Below are 17,631 nucleotides of genomic sequence, written 5' to 3' on the forward strand. Positions count from 1 at the left end.
AGTACTAATTCACGTTCAGCCGACCTCCATGCCAGTACCAGTCACCACCAGCAGAATGTAATTAGATGTGGTGACAAGTCCATTTCACGATCCCACTTCCAGTTCATTTCCCTAATTGTTTTATGAGAAAATAATTGTTTATATAGACTGCAATATGTTCCTTTCTTTGTCCTGGTGTGGCTGACACAAACCACACACCAGATCTTCACACCAGCCTGTGAAACAAGCACACCATCAAATTTCCCATATGTTTGGGAGACCCTAATCATGTAAATGGTTTGATTAAATCTTTAATGAACTGAGAATTTATTCCTCTCACTTCCGAAGCTTTGACATTCTCAAATACCTTAGGACCGGAACAAGATGATCTCACAACCATCCCATCCAAGAACGGAATCCCGGGAGCCAGGTTCTGGAGAAGGTGATGGGTTGCTAACGCCTCAGCGTGATGTGGACATTTTCCCAAACGCTGGTCCTAGATCAGCCAAAGGATGGTGAATATCAGTGGTTCACACTCAAGTTCTGTGGCCTGTCTCTGTCTTTCTGGAGAGACTCCAAACGCGAGGCTTCATCACAGTGTGTATGGTCTCTGCATCTGCGAAGCATTGTTCTTTCCTGGGTGACCTGAATGGTCGCTCAGCATGGGAAGTGCATGCTGCCTTGTGGGCCAGCCACCTGGCTGAGGGCTGCCCATCCGAGCTCCTGGACAGCTTCAAACGCTTCGTTATGGGGAGCTTGGGGGATATGATGACACTGGATTTCCACTCTACAACATGAGCTTATTTTTTTTTAATTTTATAAGTCTGAGAATAGCTTGTCCATTATAATTTATCTTTCCAAACAGAGCAGCAAAGAATTTTAGGTGGTCTTTTAAATTAATTATGGAATATTTCCTCAGCCATGCAGTATGAAAATGTTTCCTGGGTGCGTGCCACACACGTTTCTCACTGTCTTTAGGTTCATCAGACTGCCCATTAGTCTTTCCCCTGCTGTCTCCCAGGAAGCCCCACTACAGCCCTTCTATCCTGACCCCACCCCTGGGAGCTGTCCCTGGACGCTCTCCACCCACCTACTTTCTGCTCCGCCCATGTGCAGCCACTTTGAGGTCTGTCATGAATATAAAGTGTGTGACATATTTTTATTTCCTGGCTCTCTTGTTCATACGTATCTTTATTTAATTCCCAGCATGTGTCATGTTATGTGTGTTCTCAGCTTATGTTTTTACGTTTAGAAGAGTTTCGCCTGTTTTCTGCAGGGATGAGACACTTCGGGCCAACTTCAATGTTCTAATTCCGAGTTTGGAAATCAACTTTTGGACTGAAAGCTGAGCTTGTCTGAGATTTGTCAGGGCCCCTGGTGGTTGGAAAAGTGTTCTGAATCCAATAAAAGGAAAGCGGTGATTTACACTATGTTTCCCTTTGTATTTTGGGTACATTTTACATATTGGGCAATTTTGACTGGAGGTAGTTGGGAAGGTATTTGCTTGAATGTGTGCACATGCGTGCATGTGTGTACATGAGTGCATATGTGTGTATGTGTCATGTAATTGTGGATTTGCATGTGTCTTTGCACCTTGTGTGATGTGTGGGTGCATGTGTGTACACGTTGTGTGATGTGTGTGCATATGTGTTCATATGTGTGTGGTGTGTGCGCGCACATATGTGCATGTGTACATGCAATGCATTTATGTGTGTGCCTTGTATGATGTGTGTGTGCATATGTGTGCTTATGTGTGCTGTGCTGTGTGTGTGTGTGTAGGCTACAGTACCTCCGTTTTGGATGCTAATCTGCCATATTGACTTCTGATTAACCCCATTTCCAGAATGCCTCTGAGATTTCTGCTTCATCTATTGTTAAGAACACGTACTTACTGTAAATCCTGCCACCCGGTCAAAACAACCTTGATGCCACACTCCTTCTGAAGTAATTTACCCTTTCCCTGTGGTATTTAAGCCCTGGGTCTGGGGGGGTACATTGTGGCCACCCAAGACATGGCTTCTGTTCCTAAGTCCCTATGAAATGTTTCTTTCTGAGAAACTGGATTTGTCAGCCTCTCTTCAGCCTCTCAGCTCTGTTGGCTTTGGGTATGAGTTTGCATAGGCCTGCTCACCATGGAACAGTGTGTATATGTGTGCGGTGTGTGTGCATATGTGTGCCTGTGTATGCACCTGTGTATGTGTTTGTGTATCTGTCTGTTTTTCCTGGTTGGCATTGGTGATGAGGCAGGGAGAGGAAAGAAACAGACAATAATTGATGCTTTACAGCAGAAAAACTTACAACCCCGTGGGAGACCCTACTCCTTTGAGCCCACAATCTGGTGTCCTTGCATATTGATTGCCTACTAGTTGAGAATAGCTCATAAAAAGCACTTGTTTTCCGAAATCATTCTCATAGAGTTTGTAGTGGCCAGATGGGCACAGGCTATCCCCAGGAGAGGGGTGTTCCTGTTCAGCCAGCCTTCTCCTCCCTAATGGAAGGATTTCTCATGGTGGGGGGTGGGTGGGGCAGCAGGAAAGACCACTGTGTCCTTCTGGGCCCCCAGACCATGGGTTGGATTAACTATCTCCCTGGACCTGCTTCACCCCTAGGTCTCAGCCTGTCTTGTGGCATCCACGGTGGTTTCCCAGGGTAGCTGCTACTGATCTGTTCATCCTGTCCCTGTGGGTGCAGGGTGGGCTGGTGGATTTGGGTGGACTGAATGGAAAAGACCAAGCATCAGTGGGTTGAGCTGAACACCCAACGGGGTTGCTGCTGGGACGCTCCATCAGAACATGGAGGCATTGCCTGCAGGCTCACCAGTGACCCCCAAGCCTGCAATGACCCCTTGCAGAAGAATAGATGGGAAGAGATGGACTTCTGTAAATGAGTAAGGCAATTTCAGTGCAAATCCCTCGTGAAGTTACTCCAGGCTGCAGGTGGTTGGCGGGGGTTGGGGGACAGCAAATCCCTCCCAGGACACAGGGCAAGTCTATAGGTCCCCTCCTTCCTCTGGAGCTGAGGAGAGGAGGGAATGTAGAACACAGAGCTAGAATGGCCCCAGAGGACAGAGGGGCAACATTTACTCAGGGCAGGCAATGATAATGGGTACCCTGGAGGGAAGGCTGGGACAAGTCACTGAACTCCTTGAATAAATGGTAGTAACTTCATTCCGGTCACAACTCACACTTTATGGATAAGCCAGGACTGTTTTTGTTTCAGTCTTTTCCAAATTTGGTAAACAATTTCCAGGAGCACGAGCTCACCCTTTCTTCCGACAGCTTGGTTCATTTGGGGCCTTCTCCGACTGAGACACTCATCCCCTCCCTTCCCTGTGCTGACTTGAGATCCGCCACCTTACGATGCTCTTCCTTGCCGGGCTGCACGGGCCACCCTCCTCCCTGTCCTTCCCTTGGCCTTCAGAGCTCGTGGCTCTCAGGCCCTGCCACCTCCCCATATGTCAATATTGATCTTCAAATACAACGCCCCAAGTGGACACAGAGCCAGATGGATTCTGATCAGCCCAGGAAATGGGCAGCCCCGCTCTTCTGGGGAGCATCCAGCTGTACATTATGATCATGTTTGTTAGACTATCATATTACCATTTATTTTCATTTTTACAATTGTTTAAGTATGTTTTTTTCTTCCCCGACACCAGTTCTTCAACTCTCTAGACACTGGGTGGGTGTTTTACAATTCAATCTAATTCTGCACCAGCTCTTAGAGTAAATGCAGACCCCACTGAGAGTAAGGCCCCAGCAGACTGCCCCCACTTCACATACTAGCTACCAGTGGGGTGCCCAGGCTACTCACACTTCTGCTTGGACAACTACAAATTCAAGGGCTCCCATGCCCCCTTCTTGGGTTCAATGATTTGCTGGAGTGAGGCACACAACTCAGGAGAGTGCTTCCCTTACTATGATCCATTGGTTATAAAGTATATGCCACCCAGAAACAGCCAAGTGGAAGAGATGCAGAGACCAGGCATGGGGGTGGAACTCGGGGTGCGGACATGGAGCTTCCACACCCTTCCTTAGCACAATCACCCTCCCAGAACATAGAATCTCCTTGTTTAAGAGTTTTTAAGTACTGATTGTCCTTGGCTTACAGTGGGATTATGTCTGGAAAAACCCATCGTAAATTGAAAATATCGTAAGTCAAAAATGCGTTTAAGACTCCTAACCTGCTGAACGTCATTGCTTTGCCTACCCACCTTCAATGTGCTCAGAACATTTACATTAGCCTACAGTCAGGCAAAATCATCTAACACAAACCCTATTTTATAATAAAGTGTTGAATAGCTCATGTAGTTTATTAAATACTACTGAAAATTAAAAACAGAATGATTGTATGGGTACTCAAAGTAAGGTTTCTACTGAATGTGTATTGCTTTCACATCATCCTAAAGTAAAAAAACCACATGTCAAATATGTCGGGGACTGTGTATATACATACATTATTATTAACAACAGACACTGTGTTGTAAGAGAATCTCTTGTATTTATTCCTCCTGGTGAACTGAAATTTGTTTAGCCTTTGATCAACATCCTCCTCCCCTGCCCCAACCCCAGACCCTGGAAACCACCATTCTACTCTCTGCTTCTGTGAAATCAACTTTATTAGATTCCACATAAAGTGAGATTATTTGATATTTATCCTTTTGTGCCTGGCTTATTTTACTTAACATGATGTCCTTTCTGTTCATCCATGTTGTGGCAAACAACATGTGGCATTCATGTTGTTCATCCATGTTGATGGTGTTTCTTTCTTTTTGGAGGCTAGATAGCATTCCACTGCATGCCTACGCCACATTTTCTGTATCTAATTAGTCATCCATGGGCAGGCACTGGGGTTGTTTCCGTATCTTGGCTATTGTGAATAATCCTAAAATAAACCTAGTGCAGATATCTCCTTGACATATTGATTTCACATCATTTGGATACCTCATGCCAACAGAAGAATCATAAGTTTGGAAAGGAGAGCTTTATTTCTCACAGAAGGTTGCAGCTTGCAGGCTGGGAACCATAACCTCTGGCAGAAGCTGACAGTAAGCACTTCAGGGAGGGGTAAAGGGAACAGAAATGTATGCTGATTGGGGAAGCTGAATATACATATGCAATAAGCTAAAGGAGGAGTCGTGAATATTTATGAGGAGAAACATGCACGATTGAGCTTATGTCCCTTTATGGGTTGCATGTTCAAAACATCGCAGCATTAGCCTGACCAAATGGTGGTGTTTTCAGCCTTCTGACATCAAAAGGTGAAGCAGAGGACACAGCAACCCTCACTGTCCATCCTGGGAGAGTCAGACAAAACTGGTGCAGAGATGGCGGTCAGCTTTTGGGAAGGAATGCATTGCGACACTGGCGAGCTGTCATACCAAAACAGGAAAGAGGGCTGGGCATGGTGGCTCACGCCTGTAATCCCTGCACTTTGGGAGGCCGAGGTGGGTGGATCATGAGGTCAGGAGATGGAGACCATCCTGGCTAATGTGGTGAAACCCCATCTCCACTAAAGATACAAAAAATTAGCTGGGCGTGGTGGCACGTGCCTGTAGTCCCAGCTACTCGAGAGGCTGAGTCTGGAGAATTGCTTAACCTGGGAGGCAGAGGTTGCAGTGAGCCAAGATCATGCCACTGCACTCCATCCTGGGCGACAGAGCGAGACTCTGTCTCAATAAAAAAAACAAAAAACAAAAACAGGAAAGGGAGGGAGGGACGGGGAGTCCAGTCTCGGCCTCAGAGGATTGGCTAAAGGAATAAAGGAAAACCATTTCTTGTTTTCCGGAGTTGTTTTCTACTTCCTCTTCAGGAAAGAATTCTGGTTAAAGGTTAATAAGGAAGCTATGCTGAGATGTGTGCCAATTCCATGCCATCATGGCTGCAAACTCAGTTTTTAAGGTTTCCCTGGGGATCCTTTGTCCAAGAGAAGATCTGTTCAGTTGGTTGGGGGACTTAGGATTTTATTTCTATTTCTCAATACCCAGAACTGGGGTTGCTGGATCTTATTTCTATATTTAACGTTTTGTGGAACCTCTATTCTGCTTTTTTCTAAAATAGCTGTGCTAATTTGCATTCCCACCAATAGTGTACAAGGGTTCTCTTTTTTTCTATATCTTTTCCAATGTTTATTTTTGTCTTTTTGATAACAGTCATCTTAACAGGCGTGAGGTGATTTCTCATTGGGATTTTAGGGAACTATGTGAGGTAATAGATATGTTAATTAGCTCAGGTAGCCAACCCACAATGTGCACATATGTCAAAACATCGTGCTGTACATCATGAATATATGAAAGGAAAATAAATCTTGGGGCCTCCAAATCACTAATCACTAAGCTAATGGGGAAAGGGAAGCTGGGAGCTGTTCAGGGCAAACCTGCCCCCCATTCTATTCAGTCACCCCTCTGCTCACTGAGATAAATGCATATCTGATTGCCTCCTTTGGAGAGGCTCATCAGAAACTCAAAAGAATGCAGCCATTTGTCTCTCAACTACCTGTGACTTGGTAGCCCCCTCCCTGCTTTGAGTTGGCTCCCCTTTGTGGACGGAACCAATGTTTATCTTACATACGTTGATTGATGTCTCATGTCTCCCTAAAATGTATAAAACCAAGCTGTGCCCTGACCACCTTGGGCACACGTCCTGAGGCTATGTCACCGGCACACATCTTCAACCTTGGCAAAATAAACTTTCTGAATTAACTGAGACCTGCCTCAGATATTAGGGGTTCACATTTTGATAATAACAAAGGGATTCTGGGTGGGGGTGCCCCTGACCTTTGACCAATCTCCTATCGGTACTTGGTACCAGCATTAGCTAACTTTATGGCTCAAACCAATAGGACAATTTGCTGAGGTCTGGAAGCACCCGCTCCAGAGAATCCCTAATCCTCCCAAATTTGGTTGAGATCTAAAGTTTATTTTGCTGTACAACTCCTTTTTTTGAGTTTTACTTGCTTCCAACACAAGGAAGGCAAATTTCTCCTGCTTCCATGATGATGGAAGGCAGCTAACTCCTTTATGGAGTTGTTTTTTTTTGTTTTGTTTTGTTTTGTTTTGTTTTGTTTTGTTTTGAGATGGAGTCTCGCTCTGTCGCCCAGGTTGGAGTGCAGTGGCATGATCTCGGCTCACTGCAAGCTCCACCTCCTGGGTTCACACCATTCTCCTGCCTCAGCCTCCTGAGTAGCTGGGACTACAGGCGTCAGCCACCACACCCAGCTAATTTTTTTTGTATTTTTAGTAGAGACGGGGTTTCACCGTGTTAGCCAGGATGGTCTCGATCTCCTGACCTTGTGATCCACCCACCTCGGCCTCCCAAAGTGCTGGGATTACAGGCGTGAGCCACCGAGCCCGGCCCTTTATGGAGTTTTATTCGCTGCTTCTAGGATGGTAGAGAGCAGTCTTCAGCCTGAGACCCGTCTGCAGGTAAGTAACTGAACTGGGGTTTGTCTTGGCCAAAGTTAAGATTAACAACCAGCTGGACTTAATTTCTCCTTACCATTAGAGTGCTCACTAATTGTATAAGTTGTGCAATTGATTGTTTGTTTTGCTTACCTGTTTTTTTGTTGTTGTTGTCATTTGTTTGTTTCTGTTTTGTAGTTCTTTTAGTCTTTTTCCCATTGGGTTTGACCAACTCTATCTGACTCGATCAAATCCGAAGGAATGTTCCAAATTATAGGGAATGAGGCTTAACTTGCCCCCTCCAACCCCCGCCGACACACACACGCAAAGATGCTGTGGTGGGGAAGAGAAAAATGACCAGCAGAAGGAAAAATAAAAGGAAAGATTTTTTATTTTGACCACTTAAGAGGCTTTATTTACATAACAAGGCCACCTTTTTGCTAGCCAGGCCATTCTGAAAGAACAATAACTGTCGCCCCATGCTGAAGTTCCATAGCTAAGGTTCTGCCTTTTTTTTTTTTTTTTTTTTAAACCGGCACAGCCTGGGTTTGGTTCCTAAATCAAGCCCTTTCTGGTTTGATACTTGGTACTCCTAAAATAGCAGTAATTTTTCCTAGCTGAAATATGGTAATGAGATTTAAAAAGTTTTTTTTTAAAGGAGCTCAATGGTTAAAAGTCAGCTTAATTAAAAGCTAAAATCTAAGATGTGTATGTGTGTGTGTGTGGGTGGGTGTGTGGGTGTGTTTGCATTTAAAAGGATTTTATGTTGTTGTTTTAGTTTTTTTTTTGTCTCCTAGGACCTTGCCTTTTTTGAGCAAAAGTTTTTTCTTCTTAGTTGACTGAATTCTGTTTTCTTCATTTACTTCTGCTGTCCTTCTTTCCTCTTGCACCCCCTGCTGCATGAGGGACTCAAAATAGTTTATAATAGCCTGGGATTCCTTCAAAAAATAGAGAAGGTGCCAGACACCATTTTGGGGAGAAACCTCTGTTTTTTCTTGTGGAACCCCAGGAGTGTAAACAGACAGGTTCATCTCAGCTCTTAAACTGTTTATTTTTATATTGTGTTACTTGATTTTTTCACTAAAATAGTGCAACAGACGGGTTTTTAAGGAAGAGTGTAGTTTAGACACTTAGGAATGTCTTTGTTAAAAAAATTTTTTTATGTGCCCTGTAAAAACATCACATGGTCTAGCCTCATAATAATTCTCCCTTTTTGGAGACCCAGGATTCAGTGTAGGCTCTGCCTAGATTTCAGAGATCCAGTTGAAAGATAGGTAGCCCCTATCTAAATAAATTGGTCCCCTTACACAATCTTATGATCGATTTCTAATAATTTTATCTTTGATTTGGTATCCATCTTTAATCTCCCTCTAGCACCACCAGACTTTTTCTCTCTGTACCTTGAGATGTTCATTTTGGTATTTGATTTTTCACCTAAGAGTTGTTTCCTTCAGTATGCCGATTTAGGGCTATTTAGCTGACAACTGCCAGGATAACGAAACAGGTTATGAAGCGTTTGCTAGTCTAAAATAGGAAAAAAGGGAGGTCTTATGAACTATAACATGTACTTCTATTGGTATGCCTAATATGTCTACATATTTATGTGTTGTGTGCACAATATTTCACTACTAAAAATATATAAAAGAGCTCTAATTAATTGGCTTAAAGAATAATAAAAGCGCTCAAATGACATACTTTATCAGAAAAAAGGAAAGACTAGTCAAATCCTTTTTCAAGTTTATGTGACCTAAGTAAAACCTTTAATAAATAACCCAGCTTTAAAATTATTGGTAAAGTAATATTAGAAATGTCTTAAGAATTATCAGCATATATTTTCAGTTGCATTTATTGATCAAGCAATTTCATACTTATCCCTGCCAAATGCCATAAGGTGTCAAAATTTGGAGTATGGGTTACAAAACTATAAAACCAAGCCCAAAACAGAATGATCTTTGCTTGCATAATTTTTGATAAATAAGACATTGATATTAGTTTAATGAAAATAGCCAAATCTTGAATTATTTAGTAAAATAACCATAATTGCTAATCTTGTGGCTTTAGGCAGTCTAGTTCCCAGGCAGGAAGGGGGTTTGTTTTGGGAAGGACTGTTACTGCCTTTGTTTCAAAGCTAAATTACAAACTAAGTTCCTCCCAAAGTCAGTTTGGCCTACACCTAGGAATGAACAAGGACAGCTTAGAGCTTAGAAGCAAGATGGAATCAGTTAGGTCAGATCTTTTTCACTGTCTCAGATATTATTTTGCGATGGTGGTTTCATAACTTTAAATGATGACTATTGTAGTTTTCATAACTAATCTAGGTAAATGATTAAAATAATTAGGTACGTGTAATGGGATAAATACTTGTAGACAGACTTGTCATAATTTAGAATCTAAAGTTAAATTAAATAACAGATATTTCATTATTTGGGTATTTTCCAATAAAAATATATTGAAGGAAACCATTCTTTCTAAAATACATATATATTATAAATAAATATATATATATATATATAGTGTGTGTGTGTGTGTGTGTGTGTGTCCTTTTTAAAAAAGTGAATAATTTTTGTTGAATCCAAAGCTTATCTAAAGGTTACGTTTAAAATAAGGTAAAAGGAACCAGGAAATAAGAGAGATGTAAAGAAAATTATAGAAATAAAGAGGTATTTTTTGGTAAGAAAGCTTAAAGAGAAATAATTTTATATGAGAAAAAATCTTATATGGCAAATTTAGTCTTAGAATAAAATGACTGGTTGCTTAAGAAAGAGGGATGCTCAGGACAAACCAGAAAGTCCAAGCATGTCCATGAATGGTCTGTGTAAGTCACAATAAGAGGATTTATAAAAAATAAAAAAACTTTTCTTTTCTATGATCGAGTTTTCTGTAATTAAAAGGAAATTATAATGGTCTTTCTAGACATTGGGTTTAATGTAAAAAAACACTTATACACTAAAGAACTGGTTAGACAATGAAATTTTCTTAAGGGATTGATTTAATATATTGTAACAGATTTTATGTTTTATTGAAATTATTCCTGTGACATTATTATTAAGTTTTGGTTTACTTAGAAAAAAATGAGATTACTTTTTTTAAAATTAAGGTTATTACATGTGTGTAACTTTGTGTGTGTGCTTCTAAAGTCCTTGTGCCATTAAGTTACAGGGTTTTGACTCCTGGGTCTAAAAGGACACCAAGTCCTGCTAAATCTTAACATTGACAGCAGTTAAAGCCTCATCTACAGACCCTGTAGAAGATGCCAATCAAAGTAAGCTGGGTTTGTGAGACACAGGGCCCGAAATTAAATCTATTTAACTCCTCAAGGCCCAGGGACTATTGCAGGAGAGGTGGACATGTGAGATTGTAAAGGCTGATTTTGAGAGATAAAATAAGTTCAGTTTCTCTATAAATTAACCATTGATGTCAAAGGCACACTGATACAAGATTAGCATATGGGCCCCTGTATCAGATTAACAAGGTTTTCTTGAAGCATTAACCAACTCCTTAATAAAAGTTATAAAAGGCTTATTGAAATTATATCTTATAGTCAAGATGATTAAAATTTTATAGATTGTTTATAAAATTTTGAAAACAAATTTAATTTGCATCATGCTATTTTTATTAGGGCTTATTGTTTGGAAAATTAAGTCTCCTCCTTCAAAAAAGGAATGTTTTCACCTTTTTTTGAAATCCTTGAGTTATCACTTTGGTTAAATGAATGACTTATTTTATAATGACCTGTGATCCTATTTTGTGATATCAAGTGTTTTAAACCTTTGATATTTGACAAACTTTCCAAAATCAAATTATAAATTATGTCTTTTTCTTTTCTTTTGTTTTCTTTTCTTCTTTTTGAGACAGAGTCTCCCTCTGTTGCCCACTGGAGTGTAGTGGCATAATCTCCGTTCACTGCAACCTCCATCTCTTGAGTTCAAGTGATTATCCTTTGTCGGCCTCCTGAGTAGCTGGGATTACAGGTGTGCACCACCAAGCCCAGCTAATTTTTGTATTTTTAATAGAGATGGGGTTTCACCATGTTGGTCAGCCTGGTCTTGACTCCTGACCTCAAGTAATCTGCCCACCTCAGCCTTCCAAAGTGCTGGGATTATAGGCTTGAGCCACCATACCTGGCCAAATTATGTCTTTTTTTGACCTAATTAATCCTTTAAGATATTAGGTTCCCTAAAGTCCAAAAATAATATATTTGGCTTATTTGGTATAAAAATCATACAGGAAGCATTGTCAAATATGAAATGGTGTTTGGCTTTCTTTGGGCTGTATTTATATAAATATGTTATTGGTATGTGTTCCAAAATTATGGGAAACTCCTGTAATTCCAATATGACTTAGTGTATGTTATCAGTAGTAATTATAACTGTTATGTTAAACTATTGTGTGCCATGGATGTAACACATTTCCTTGTCACAGAGGTAACACATTGTTTCTTTGGCTATGGCTTTCCTAAAATTTTTTGTCATCCACAGACAATTATTGCCTTGTTTTGATCCTCTTTCGAAGGTGGTTTTATAATCAGCAAACAGTTTATAGCTGTTCTGATAACCTTGGAGATTGTGGCATTAGAATAGAGGGGAAAATACTTTCTGGACTCACAGAAGGCTGGAATGTTCATGGATATTCATGAATATCAAACAGGAGTTAACTGTGTGGACTGAACTAATAGAAGACTAAAGTAATCTTTTGACTTTTTGCTTAAAACATTGCTAATCCTTTGTTTTGTTTTTCAGGGTCGAGAAACCTTTCTTTTGAACTGTTTACAGCATGGAGCAATTGAGTAAAGTATACTCCTGTGAAAAAAATTTGGAGCATATTTATTTCTCTCTACCTGATTTCTCCAGAATTTTGAAACTATTTGTGAGTATTCTTAACTTACAGCAATATAGTTATTTGCATAAGCACAATAAGAGTGTTTTCTTTTGCAACAGGACACCATTGGAGAAACTGGTTATTTTACCAAGGCTGTGACTGGAATGGTGTGCTTTCTTTTAAGGAATCAAATTTGACTTACAGAGCCAATAAAAGCCCCTTGGAGAAACTGGCTGCATACCTTGTCTACACAGTCCCTGTACAGGGTTCCTAACCTGTGGTAAGTAAAGAACGTCACTTTCTGACAGGCCCAGGAGCCCTAAGTTATCTTGGGACCTCAAGAGGATAGGAATTTACCCAACTCATAGGTATTTGATGGTACAAAGCCATGGCTGAGCTCAGCTTTAAAAAAAAATCTTATCTAAGATCCCTTCTTTGGAGCAAATTTCCATCAAAGCCAATTTAAAAAGCCTATGTGAAGAATAATTATTCTTGCTGCACTTTATACAAATAATATGGCCAAGTATAAGAAAATCAATCCTACCATGATTTGTCTTTAGTAAAAATGGGAAACTGGAGAGAGAAAAATTATGTTTCAAAAACTATAGTACACCTGTTGTTAAATTCTAGTCTTGCCTTATGTTTTTCAATTTTTATTATTTTCTACAGTTTGGACTAAATTCTAATTTTTCCTGGCTACAAATCTCCAAAATAATATTTTAATTTTTTTCTTCTTTTTTTCCTCCATTTTTCCTAATTTGAAATCACTGAAAACTAGGCTGTGCTTTCTTAAAGCCCTTCGAACTGAAGCTAGACAATTTAAACTCCAGAAGAAAATAACAGCAACTTATTTACATACATAAGTCACTCTCATACCTGTCTACTGATTATTATGAACTTCAGAGTAATGTGGCCTATATCAATTTTCCGGGATTGCTCTTTTGTTTGTTGTTGTTTTTCTCCCTTCCTCCCCCTATTTTCTCTTTGTAGGACATGAGACTTCATAACCTGCTATAAATGAGCTTTTCTAATAACTTGAAACCTACCCATGTAGGAATAAACTGTCCTAGCCATGAGAGATCAGATGAAGCCTGAGACCAGAGACTCATTTTCTTCTAAAATACTTTCTCCAAAAGATTTTAAAAAGAAAAAGGGGGAAATGTGAAAGGAAAATAAATTTGGGGCCCCCAAATCACTAAGCTGATGGGAAAAGTCAATCTGGGAACTGCTAAGGGCAAACCTGCCTCCCATTCTATTCAAAGTCATCCCTCTGCTCATTGAAATAAATGCACATCTGATTACCTCCTTCGGAAACGCTAATCAGATACTCAGAAGAATGCAACCGTTTGTCTCTCAACTACCTGTGAGCTGGAAGCCCCCTCATGGCTTTGAATTGTCCCGCCTTTCTGGATGGAACCAATGTTCATCTTACATATGTTGATTGATATCTCATGTCTCCATAAAATGTATAAAACCAAGCTGTGCCCTGACCATCTTGGGCACATATCTTAGGACCTCCTGAGGCTGTAATGGGTGTGCATTCTTAACCTTGGCAAAATGAACTTTCGAAAGTAACCGAGACCTGTCACGAAAGTTAGGGTTCACAAATACATACAATTTTTGTCAATTAAAAAAACAAATTTCCATCAGAAAGGTATTAGTTTTACAAAATTAGTTTTCTTTATTAAATGAATAAAGAAAAAAATTGCTTTAATAGAGTTCATTCTCCAGCCTCCTTCCCCTGGGAGTGAAGGGGCAACGCAGAGAGGGCGGAAAGGGTGGGGCTGAAAGATTTCCCCCACTTCTAATTCCTTGGTCTTCCTGGTGGCCAGCCTGTCCTGATGCCATCTAGGAGTCCCATCCTTTGTCACCTTATTGGCAAACACTCCAATATGAATATGAATAACAAAAGACACTCCTGTCACTCAGGAAATTCCAAGGGCTTTAGGTGCCCTCTGCTGGGAACCAGGGACAAAGATCAAATACATATTGTTAATAAACCACAGCAAGATAGCTCTAAAATGCTCCCATGAGTCATGCACTAAGTGTGGAGTGAGGCATCCTACCTGGATTGAGTGGTTCTCTACATGAAGAAGACATCGATTTGGACACTTCCCCATCCCCCTTCCAGGAATAGACATTTCAGCTTCCAAGTCAACACCGGACTTGAGATTCTCTCCGATTCTCTGTGATCCCAGTGCCAAATGACCCCATTAGTCAATGAGTTCCAAAAAAAATCAATAGAGAAAATGCTTGGTGAGATCTCTGGGCTGTTGCCAACTCTCCTTTCCATGAACGAAGAATGGCCACTGGGGAATATCAAACTGAAAATAAGTCATGTTGATAGGGTGTGAACCATTTGCCCAAGCAATTTAAAAAAAAAAAAAAAAAAACCTTTTCAACCACCCACCCTCAGCTGATCTCCCCTGATTGTTTGGCTCACTTGGCAAAATTGCTTTAAATTGTAGCATTGCAGATGTTGCAGGTGATCCTGGGGTCTGCTGTTCTCTCCTTCAATTTTTCTCTGGAACTTTCTGCTTAATTCTAGTTAGGGGGTAGAAGTGGGGAAAAAAACTACCCTGCTGTGAGCCCTTCGTGTGGCAAGAAGTGCCTCGGGGTTTTGCTTTTTCCTTTTTGCACTTGGGAAAGTGGGAGCTCTACGTAGGCTGAGCAGTTGAACAAATAATGAACCTGGACCTCCCTTCTTTAAGCCCCACGTTCTTTGTTATTTATTTTCACTTGGACAGACCGTGAATGTGGCTTTGGGGGTCCCTGATTTGTGTACTTAATCACCATTCCCACAGTGAGGCAGGCAGGTGGCTGGCGGAGAGCAGGTTCACCCTGTGGCTCGGCCTCTCTCCTGCTGGCTGTCCTGGGGCTCCGGTTTTCCCTCTCTGGGGGAATTCAAGCCCTGCCTGACATATAAGAGTTGTAATTTGGACATGGAAGGCCTCTGAGGGTCCTTCCAGTTGTGCTGTGCCAGGATGTTTATCCACAAGGTTGTTGCATACACGGACAACATCAGCTGAAGCTACAAACACTGCAGAGAACACTTCTGGTTTTAAACCCATCACTGCACCCCAGATGTCCACACCAGGATATGAAATGTCCCAGCATGTGGGAGAAGCAGGAAAAACTGGTCACCTTATGGATCTCAGCAGGAGACCCCACAGCCCCTCTGGGACACTGATCCATGCATGGGGTGCTGTGATGTCTTCCCTGTCTTCAGACCTAGTGTCTCGAAGTTCACCTGTATGTCTTACCCTCCAGGCTGCTCACAGAATGACCTTCCAAACCCAGAGGCACCGCTGGCATGGATGACAGTTCTAGCATCTGAACCCTGCCCAAGACGGGGCTCCTCAGCATCCTGAGCTGTCCTCAAAATAACACCAGGCTGCGCACTCAGGACATCTTGTGAAGGCCAATCAAAATAATGCCAGTGGGAATGCCTCGTCCCGAGGGATCCCTCTATAAACTTAAAGGATGATGGTTCAAATGTTTCCGCAATAATGAAGGGACTCAAAAGGAACCTACACTCAAAACAGCTGGGGGAAAGTCCAGAAGTTCAATTACACTCTGTTCACTTATGGAAGGGCAGGAGAAAACCTCATTTATTTTAGCATTTTATGTGGTTTCTGCAAAGTTCTTCTCTGTACCAGGCGAAGAAATATAATACTACCTCATATTTGCAAAGGGTTTTCCAGTTAACAAAAGACTTTTGCCACCTGCTGGGTTGTGAATTCTACCGCTAGCCTGGGGTGCTGGCCGAGAGGGTGTGTCCTGGAGTTGAGTGTAGGCTGAAAGAGGAGGTGACTTTCCCAAGGCCACCAAGGTCCAGGCAGATCCAGGGCTTTTGCCATGACTGCTGGACAATCCAAGCTCCTTGGTTTCTAGGATGTTAAGAGCCAAGTTAATGAGGCTTTAAATGCCCATATTAAAAGATGGTGACAGAAGAGGACAAATTCAATGTCATAATGCATTTGAGGCCCTGAGATCATGAGAGTGATATTTGCCAGTCAGGGGTCTTCCTGAAATCTCTGTCCTGCCGTCTCCCACTCTCTTCCTGCCTCCTCACCTGCTCCTCCCCAGCCACCATTGCTGCTTCCTTCTCACCACCCCGAGCCCTGGACACTGATGCCCTGGGCCTGGTCCGTGGACTTCCCTCCTCGATGCTGACGCCTGGGTGCCCTCCTCAGGCTCCACACACCCTAGTCACTCCCAGTTGATAAATGGAAATAAAATCCTAAACCCCTCAACTGACCGAACAGACCCCCTCTTGGCCAAGGAGTCCCCAGGGAAACCTTGAAAACAGAGTTCCCAGCCAGGAAGAGACGGGAGGTCTGTTATGCCAAAGTGTGTCCCTTCTTCATTAACCTTTAACCAGAATGCTTTCCTAAGGAGTAAGCAGAAACCAGCTCTCGATGACTCTTTCCAAGGAACGGATGACTCCTTCTTTCATCACCTTTAGCCAGTCCTCTGAGTCTGCGCCTGAGCTCCTCTCCCTCTTTGCAGATGTGACAGTTGGCCAGTTTCACAATGCACCCCTTCCTGACGAGAGACCACCAGCCATGGAGGGGCTCAGGCCAGTCTTCAGGGGATGCCCAGTGACAGCTTCCGTGTGCTGTGGTTCACCTTTTGACATTAGAGGGCCAAAATCTCCACCTTCGGGTCACCTTAATGCTGCCAGTTTTTGAACATGTGATCCCTGAAGAGGTATGAAGCTCAAATGGGCATGGGCATGTATCTCCTGCTCTCATAAATATTCAGGGCTCCTCTCATAGCTTATTGAATATGTATATTCAGTCTCCCCACTCACTGTACATTCCTGTCTTATGCTTCCCTCCCTCCAAGTGCCTGTTTCCAGCTTATGTCAGAGGCTACGCTTCCCAGCCTGTGGATGGCCACTTGCAGGCTGCAGCCCTTTACGAGAAAGAAAGCTCTTCCAAATCTCTGAACCTCATGGTTCTTCAGTTGACACAGGAGATCCCTGCAGCACTCCCCTCTGTCCTTGGCTGGGGGCTTTCACACCACTGGGCATGTTTGTAGACTGGCAGGGCAAGCCCATATTGAGCCCAGAGCACTCAGCAAATGGCCCAGGTGCCACCTGTGAGTCCCAATCTTCTTTGCCCTAAGGGAGTCGGGCTGCTCCTCCCCCATGGTTTCCCTTGCAGTGGCACCTTGGGGACCTTGGCTCTGGAGGGCAAGAGATGAAGGAAGACCAGCCCCGGTGGACGGCGTGGGGAGAAGTAAGTCTTGTTACATTGGCGCTGACATGCTAAGTTGTACATTTCTGCCCCAGAGTCTGCCCATCCTGCTGAAGGCATGCTCGGTGAGGCCACGACCCTGCCCAGACAAAACCCACTCTCCTCTCAGACTTTTCCACTCAGCTCTGAGAAGCAAACCTGGGGGTCGGCTGTTTCCTCCCTGTTTCTCACTCA

General features: G+C 42.4%; 1 annotated feature.

Moving 5' to 3' along the window:
• Positions 16,053-17,252: an enhancer, noted in NCBI's record as "P300/CBP strongly-dependent group 1 enhancer chr22:47983860-47985059 (GRCh37/hg19 assembly coordinates)". NCBI's record gives its function as "activates an origin of replication core promoter dependent on BRD2, BRD4, P300/CBP, MED14 and CDK7 cofactors, with strong dependence on P300/CBP, by STARR-seq in HCT116 cells {active_cell/tissue: HCT116}" and the evidence as "EXISTENCE:reporter gene assay evidence [ECO:0000049][PMID:35650434]".

This window comes from Homo sapiens, chromosome 22 (genome assembly GCF_000001405.40).
Source record: "Homo sapiens chromosome 22, GRCh38.p14 Primary Assembly".
NCBI classification, from domain to species: domain Eukaryota; kingdom Metazoa; phylum Chordata; class Mammalia; order Primates; family Hominidae; genus Homo; species Homo sapiens.